The sequence below is a fragment of the Homo sapiens genome, chromosome Y (assembly GCF_000001405.40).
Source record: "Homo sapiens chromosome Y, GRCh38.p14 Primary Assembly".
Classification (NCBI taxonomy): domain Eukaryota; kingdom Metazoa; phylum Chordata; class Mammalia; order Primates; family Hominidae; genus Homo; species Homo sapiens.
In genome coordinates, this window is record NC_000024.10 from 11,206,125 (window position 1) to 11,215,493 (window position 9,369).

A 9,369-nucleotide genomic window follows, 5' to 3' on the forward strand; every position below is an offset into this window, starting at 1 on the left:
CGGCCCATCTGGGAGCAAGTTTGAGTCTTACCAGTTTGATACTGGGTGCTGAGCAAAGTGGCACGTGTCTATGTTTTGTCACATGTATTTTGCTCTGGGCAGAATGAAAAATGTTAATTTGGTTACTCCAAGCAACCCCTTGGGCAGCATCTTGCAAAGCTGAGTGGATTCTTCCTGTGATTCCATGATTTTCCATTGTGATGCAGCTTGGCCCCAGAGCTATAATGTGGTGAGGAGAGTGACAGAGCAAGACACAATCTTTAAAAAAAAAAAAAATGGCCAGGTGCAGTGGCTCGTGCCTGTAATCCCAACACTTGGGGAGGCTGAGGCAGGTGGATCACCTGAGGTCAGGAGTTCAGGGCCAGCCTGACAAACAAGGAAAAACCCCGTCTCTTCTAAAAACACAAAATTAGCTGGGCACGGTGGCACATGCCTCTAATCCCAGCTACTCAGGAGGCTGGGGCAGGAGAATTGCTTGAACCCGGGAGGCAGGGGGTTGCAGTGAACCGAGATCACACCATTGCACTCCAGCCTGGGCAACAAGAGGGAAAATCCATCTCAAAAAAAAAAAAAAAAAAAGAAAGAATAATAGATTTGTCTATAAGGTTTTATGAAAAAGTGGGTGACATTTGGCTTTCTCTCTTTAAAGAAGATGTTCAGGTAATATTAAAAAATAATGAAAAATTTGTTTGCCTTTTAAATAAACTACCAAACAAAAAAAAAAAGGAAAAACAAGAGGCAGATCGTTTGTGAAGATAAGTCTTCCCTCTATCAATGAGTAAAGATTTTTGCCCTTTAAAACTTTTTTTAAGTCATGATTTTAAGTAAATGAATGACTTACGGTGACCTGGAATTCTATTTCATAACATCAAGTGTTTAAACTTTTAATATATTTAATAGGCTTCCCAAAATCAAATTTCAACTTCAAAATTGTCTTTTCCGACCTCTAACTTTGGGATACTACAGAGGCCCTTGAAGCACACAAAAGAGAGGTAAACAAGACTATTTAACATGTTAAGTCACATGGGTAGCACTGTCAAAATAAAACATAATGTTGAACCTTCTTCAGGTTATATTTAGTTTATGTCATCAACCCGTTCTAAAATTGTATAGGATTTCTAAAATTCTTTTTTTTTTTTCCCCCGAGACGGAGTCTTGCTCTGTCACCCAGGCTGGAGTACAGTGGCACAATCTCGGCTCACTGCAACCTCCGCCTCCTGGGTTCATGCCATTCTCCTGCTTCAGCCTCCCGAGTAGCTGGGACTACAGGCATCCACCACCATGCCAAGCTAATTTTTGTATTTTTAGTAGAGACGGGGTTTCACCGTGTTAGCCAGGATGTTCTCATCTCCTGACCTCGTGATCCTTCCACCTCGGCCTCCCAAAGTGCTGGGATTACAGGCCTGAGCCACTGCACCCGGCCAGGATTCTAAAATTCTAATATGCCTATATGCTATCTATCATAATTACCTGTTTTGTTTGCTTTGAGACAGAGTTTCACTCTTGTCACCTAGGCTGGAGTGCAATGGTGTGATCTAGGCTCACTGAAGCCTCCACCTCCTGGGTTCAAGCATTTCTCCTGCCTCAGCCTCCCAAGTAGCTGGGATTACAGACAACTGCCACCACATCCAGCTAATTTTTTTATTTTTAGTAGAGACAGGGATTTACCATGTTGGCCAGGCTGGTCTCAAACTCCTGACCTCAGGTGATCCACCTAACTTGGCCTCTCAAAGAGCTGGGATTACAATAATGAGCCACCACATCCACCCTAATTATGGTTATTAAGTTATTGTAGACCACAGAAATAACCAAATTTCCTTATCAATTGTCTTTAACTATAACTATTTAAAGTCATTCCCACAGTTAATTGCTTAAAGGTGATGCAGTTTCTAAAAACTTCACAAGCATGCAAAATTCTAGAATAGAAGATTCATGAAAGAATGAAAAGGACCATGAAAAACACTCGGGAACACAGGTTTCTAATAACTTTAATATCATGGGTAAAAATTCCCCATAAGTTCCCCGATCCCCCAATAATTGGACTGGTTAAGAATTCACAAAAGTTAGGCTGGGTGCAGTGGCTCATGTTGGCAATCCCAGCACTTTGGGAGGCTGAGGCCGGTGGATCACTTGAGGTCAGGAGTTTGAGACCAGCCTGGCCAATGGTGAAACCCCGCCTCTACTAAAACTACAAAAATTAGCCGGGTGTGGTGATATGCATCTGTAATCCCAGCTACTCGGGAGGCTGAGGCAGGAGAATCACTTGAACCCAGGAGGCGGAGGTTGCGGTGAGCCAAGATTGTGCCACTGCACTCCAACCTAGGTAACAGAGTGAGACTCTGTCTCAAAAAAAAAAAAAAAAAAAAAAAAAATCCTAAAGTTTAATAAGAAGACCAACTGGTTTATAAAACTGCTAACCCAAGTAAAACAAAAATTGAATATCAAGGAAATATTTTGCCAGATTTGCATGCTAAATCACCAATATTGAAATTGTTTAGATATATAATTTAAATAAACTCCATGGTCTAAGCCAAATTACCTATAACTCATCAGTTACCAGTGCCATGCACCTAATTTGAAGAAACAGCTGGTATTCAAGAGGATGTAAGTCTAATGTTAATTAAGCATGGACTTATGAAGGACCAGGATGGCCACCTTGTCCATCTTAAGTCCTTAAAACTTTTGTTATTAAAAGTTCTGCATTCCATAACTCATCATGGAAAGAGAAAATGATCCAAATTAAATATATTGCTGTGGTGATCTCTAAATTGCTAGAATAGTTTATAATCAATGTTTGGTTTGTCGAACCTATATTCCTAGGAAAACAATCAAAACTTCAGGTACATTTGGTTACCTGATGGGCCATTTAAACATTTTATAAAGGGATTTCATTCAGTTGTAATTTTCAGTGCATGTTTTCTGATTGTATAAAAGCTCTTCCATGCAAGAGGGTTGATGTTAAAACAGTAGATTATTATGCTGAATTGTATTTTCACCAGCTAAAGAAAGCCTTTTATGGTTCACAGAGGACAGCCAACCCCTTCACAATCTAGAATCTGATGACTGGATTTTCTGAGAACATCAGAGGACTGCCCTTGCCATCCACGTGACAGCAAAACTTCAAAACCTTAAACTTTGGGTTCATAGTCTTACAACTCAGAAGGGTCCCTCCACACTCGGAACCATACACCCTCTGGAACCCTTAAGGTAAAGCTAACAAGGACAGTTCCCCCCCAGAAGAAGATGGCATCCTTAATGTGAACAGCTTTTCCCAAGATCACAGATCAAGACTTCTCTACTCTCATGAGACTCTTATCTTAAGTATCTGTGCAGCTGCTAACATGGCATATGGAGAAAACATTGGGTATTATAAAGATTTTGTTGTAAGGAATTAACAAAAAATCCCACTTAGTTAAGCAAGTAAACTCTTTATCTAATTCATTCTTTAATCTATTTGATTTTAGATGGTTTGATTTATGGGGACCCTGAGTAAGGAGCATACACCAAATTCTTGGTGTTATCCAAATAGTCATAAGAGTCTCCCTGGTGCACTGTACTTACTCAAATGTTTTAAGAGTTTGCATGCAGCCATCTCTAAAATGTCAATTGGTATCTCTTCAACTGGAATGACAACAGATTAAAAAAAATGTGCAACCATAAGGACACCATAACCTATGAGTGACATGCTAAACTGGAAACCCAAAACAATGGGAGTGACATGCTAAACCAGAAACCCAAAACAATGGGACTGATGTACTAAAACCGGAACCCAAAGCAATGGGAGTGATGTACTAAAACCAGAACCCAAAACAATGGGAGTGACGTGCTAAACCAGAAACCCAAAACAATGGGAGTAACATGCTAAAACCAGAACCCAAACAATGGGAGTGATGTGCTAAACTGGAAACGCAAAACAATGGTAACTAAGAGTGAGGCTAAGGCCCTACATTTTGGTCACACTCTCAACTAAGTGACAACTTGACTAAAAAGGAGGATTTTTTTTTTTTTTTTCTGAGACAGAGTCTTGCTCTGTCCCCCAGAGTGGAGTGCAGTGGCATGATCTCGGCTCACTGCAAGCTCTGCCTCCTGGGTTCAGGCCATTCTCCTGCCTCAGCCTCCTGAGTAGCTGGGACTACAGGCACCCGCCAGCATGCTTGGCTATTTTTTTGTGTATTTAGTAGAGATGAGGTTTCACCGTATTAGCAAGGATGGTCTCAATCTCCTGATCTCGTGATCTGCCCACCTCAGCCTCCCAAAGTGCTGGGATTACAGGCATGAGCCACCGCGCCCAGCCAAAAGGAGGAATTTTTAAGCAAAATTATGGGAGGCCATTGTTTTGAACTAAGCTCATGCAATAGGTCCCAACAGAACAAACCAAACCAAAATGGAGTCACTCATGCTAAATGGAACATAATCAAATTAAGACTTTAAGGAAACACATAAATCCTAGAACAAACCAGGTTTTGTTTTTCTCCTGTAAACAGGATGTTCCAGCATAAGAAGACACCTTCTACTCAAGTCCTTGTTCCACCTTTTCAAATCTCACTGTTCTATTTCCCAGTGGGCTTCTAAACCAAATAAGTACATTTGCAATGGTAATAGTGACACCAGTGACTGAAGTTTTGGCCAATCTCTCAAAATTGAGAAAATAACCAAAGGGAAGGCATTGTTAAAGTGAACTAAGTATGTCCTGAGAAGGACTCCATAATTATATATATGAGTCCTTGTGGATGACCTGCAACCTACCTTGATAGGTAAACAAGAATGAAAACCTAACTTGAGTGTATGCACCTCAAACAACAGCTACATCTTGGCCAATCCCAATGGCCAAACTTCAACCACTCAGGCACTGCCAAATGTTCAAACTGTGCTCAAACAAGGCAAATGCTGAGTTGTTTCTGTACTTCACTTCCGATTTCGGTATGCCACTTCCCTTTTGTCTATAAATCTTCTTCCACCACATGACTATGCTGGAGTCTCTGTGAATCTGCTGTGATTCTGGGGACTTTCCGATTCGTGAATTGTTTATTGCTCAATTAAACTCCTTTAAAGTTTTTCTTTTAACAGAACTAACACGGAAGAATTTCCAGATCATGAACAGACGTTTTGTAATACCCAACGTTGTATTAACATGAATAGGCTCTTCCTTAGATAGCTAACCTTGTTTTTAAGATGAATAGACTCTCCCTTAGCTGAGAAAACCAGACAAACTCCATTTGGCTCCTTCATTTACAAGATATCAAGGGCTCCTTACCCACCCCCTTTCCTCAAGGACTTTAACTTGTGCAAGCTGATTTTCAACATATCAAAGAGTGCAATTAACTGATAAAGTGCTGAGGCAAGTGATATCCGCAGTTCCCAGCAAATTACTCAGAGATAATATCATAAAGCCCCCACATTTGTCTGGCAGATAATGTCCAGAGCCCCCTCACACATCACTTTGTGGTGAATTTAAAGCCTCTGCACCTGGAACAGTTTGTTTTCCTGTAACCATCTGTCTTTTTAAGTTTTTTGTCTGTTTTTTCTTCTGTAAGTTTATTGCAGCTGGAATCCCCCCTCCCCTCTCTAAACCAATGTATAAAAGAAAATCTAGCCCATTCTTTAGGGCCGAGAGTATTTCCTGTGTTAGCCATCTCTCAGTCACCAGCTAATAACGGACTCCTGAATTCGTCTCAAAGTGTGGCATTTCTCTCTAACTCGCTTGGGTACGACAGTTTCAACTATGGTAGAAGACTCGAGTAAGACAAATACAGCTCCCCTAAATTTGACTATTATTTGGGTTAATGGTGAGTTTAGAAGAAATAAGTTAAGACTACACAGAGTGGGCTAAATTGCAAATAAACACTGAAAATATTTCCCAGAAAATATGACTTTGAACAGGCTGCTGCACACCCTGCATGTAGAGATAAACTAAGAAAAATGTGTGGAGAGTTATTTAAGGACCTGTGGTTAACTCAGTCCTCAAGACATTCCAGGTTTCATCCATGAGTCAAGGAGGACCTCCCAAAAGCTGTTTGGGACCACACTCTTTGAGTAAGGAGCATACCTTATGATGGAAGCTGTGCTTTAGCAGTAGATGACCATTTCCACTGCACAACACGCCGTGCTTTAGCAGACAATGACCATTTCCACTGTACAACACGCTGTGCTTTAGCGTCAGATGACCATTTCCACTGCACAACATGACATGCCTTAGCGGAAGATGACTGTTTCCACTGCACAACACTACAAGTGCTTACTGCCAGACCAGTGTGAAATATGTTCCAGCACATAATCTATGTCACCAGTGAAGGTGGTGGTTAAGCCTTGGTGCACACAAGCTTTCCTGTCCCACAAGAACACAGCATGCTCTCTTTTCGGGTTCCATTCCAATCACGTAACAAACATGACTGCCTTTTTTGTTTTGGCATCAGAAAGATCAGAGGAAACTTTGCACTCAACTTAGACAACTCTAAGCTTTTATAACCTGTCTATATCTACAGGTCAGCTTTATCTTATTTATGTATATTTCCTTCAACCTGAGTTTTACTTATTTCCACTTTTGCTTTTTAATTCACAGACACCCATAAACTCAGAAAATACAGTGTAAAACAAAGTGAAGAACAAATAAACAACTCACCAGAGATTTATTCGTTTCTTGTTGCTCTTGGAAACACCCAGAGGACACTGGAAACATAGCTGGAAGAGAAGGCAAATGACATCGATTAAGGAGAGAACTGGTGAGGTGTGGTCCCAGATTCTTCTGCCCAACACTCTAGACACATTACCTGGAAAAGCCCTCCTCCCTCCGGAAAAAGAAAAACTTCCCCATGGGAGAAGAGTCCTTCACACCTCATTAGGGGCAGCAAAGACTCAAGTTAAGATAAGATACATCTACAAGTACATTAATTGGTAGGCATTAGATGTACAATTTATTTTTGAATAAAAATATGTATTACCTACTAATTTAGTAACAATATTACCTAAAGATATAATCTAATAATTTAATACAAAGAAACATTATAAGTTCACTAAAATAAATGTTATAGAAATATACTGGGCTGTATTAACTATTTTCCTATTAATATGTGGATTCCACAAATAACTTCATATGAGTATTCCCATGACAGTACATCTTGCTTTTCTATACCTCAACATCATGGAAAGTACATCTTGCAACCCAGCAATTTTGGCCTACGTTTTTTAAAATGTACATAATATGTATTTCCGGCAGTACACCATTCTACACATGTTTCCCAATAACACCTTTCCCTGTATCCAAGCCCTCATATTATGCTCTGACAATAAATTGGGCTTTTCCATCTGACTTGTCCAGAGAATGGACAATGGAAAATGTGATGCAAATATCCATTGGTTCTTGCCTTTTTGGACACAGTCATATTGTGAAGAGGTCTGGAGCTACCCTGTTGGAGACACATTGCCTAGCCAAGAGTCACCACAAACCGCCAGATTGTGAAGGAAACTATCTTAAACCAACCAGGCTCAGTCAAGGCACCAGGCGACTAAGGCCTGTTTTGTGATCCAGGCAACACAAATATATCAACTACCCAGCTGAACCCACCACACCAAAATGCAGATCCACAGAACTTCAAACAAATAAAATGGTGGTTGTTTTTTATAAGCCAGTAAGGTTTAATTAGTTCCTTGAACAGCAAATATTAACTGTTACACCTAAGTGAATAGAATTCAATATGTTTTTAACGAAATTATGTAGGGGGAGAAAGTCTTAAATTACAAATGAAATGCAATCAATAGAACTTCACAATCTATGCTAAATTTGGTGATGGACTAGGTTTAATATATCTCAGACACTGGAAACAACAAGCTAAGGTTGAAGGAAAGGGACTGTATTTGGAGAGTATTTCAATCTTTTCAAGTATGACAGGTCACTCCTGCACCCCAGACCACACTTTCAGGCCCCTTCAAATAAGGAATATTTCCTAGCTCCTTGCCTGTTCTTCTCAGCTGAATTCACCTCAACCTTCTGAAAGTTCTTCCAAACCTTCCACTATCACCTAGTCTTTGCAAATCTTGTGCATTCTAGGGAGTAGAATTAATATTTCCTGAGCGAGGAAAACTGGGATCTTCACCTGTGACCTTTTATCCTCCTCTGAAGCACTAGTGAGAGGTTAGACCAGAGGGCTGTTCTTTCAAGTGTGCTTCTTATTCATAGGGAACCCTCCCTTTCGAACTTTATAACACACAGTTAAGACTGAAGTACCCTTAAGGCTGAAGACCATCATCCAGTACCCCATCTCCCTCGCGGAATCAGTGAGTTCCTCCATGGAAACTAGGTCTCGTATAAACTTCCATAAATGCAATCCAGGAGGACTAGGCAGGTCACACAGTGAAGGAGGGAACCAGAAGCTTCACTTGCCAAATAGACACCAGGAAACCCAACTAATACAAACGCCCAGCTTAAGACTAGAGGCACACGCATTTCGCACTACTCCTCTGGGAATGGGGAACGTCTCCCGAGAACTGTGTGTTAGCACCGGGACAGATGGGCAAACTGAGCTACATGAGGGTTGGTAACCGGGTCTCTCAGCGGCAGGACAGGAGCGCGGCCTGCAGACTCCGGGCCCAGGGCCACCACCCTCGCCTACCCACTCCTGCGCCTCTGGAACCCGCTTCACTGCTGGGACCCCACGCCTGTCCTCCCAGCCCCCGCCAGGGTCCACGGCCCGCAAATGCACGTCAGGCCCCTCCTGCCCGCGATGCGCTCACGCGTCTGCCCCCACAAATGGGGAACACTGGTCTGGCCCCCCAGGATCCCCCGAGGCCCACAGGTTCCTCTTCGCCCTCACACCTACCCACAGGGACATAGAACCAAGCCCCAGGCCTGCTCAGCTACAGGACGGCCGCTGGGATCCGCACTTCCGGAGGAAAATGGCGAAGTGGGCGGGGCGGCGCATGCGCAGAGAGAAAAGCTGGTTCCCAAGGTCCTTCATGGTAACATCATTGGAAGGTGACACTACATTTCCTATGAGGCTCTGTGGTCCCCCGTTAGGAACGCACGCCGGACATTCTGTTTTGCCCAGCAGTGAGTCCAGTTACCCGGAGACCCGGACTTGATGGATCAGGACTGGTCCCTACCCACGTGACACAGATGTGGCATTCTGGTTCGTTATTAAATCCTGGTTTCACAGCCTGGGACATTGTGAAAATAATGGAGAAATTCCAATAGAAACCAATTGGTCTATGCTGTTAATGAGTAACTTTTTTTCTTTTGAGATGGAGTCTCGCTCTGTCACCCAGGCTGGAGTGCAATGGTGCGATCTTGGCTCACTGCAAACTCTGCCTCCCAGGTTCAAGAGATTCTCCTGCCCCAGCCTCCTGAGTATCTGGGATTACAGGCGGGCGCCACCA

General features: G+C 42.3%; 1 long non-coding RNA gene across 1 annotated transcript; it reads right to left on the bottom strand.

The window, feature by feature from the left end:
- Window positions 1–515: 515 nt before the first annotated feature.
- LOC105379273 (uncharacterized) lies at window positions 516–8,873 on the bottom strand. Its single transcript, XR_002958840.2, has 3 exons — window positions 8,814–8,873; window positions 6,620–6,678; window positions 516–557 (listed from the first exon to the last, which is right to left on the bottom strand). It is a non-coding gene; the product is annotated as an uncharacterized LOC105379273 (long non-coding RNA).
- Window positions 8,874–9,369: the final 496 nt, after the last annotated feature.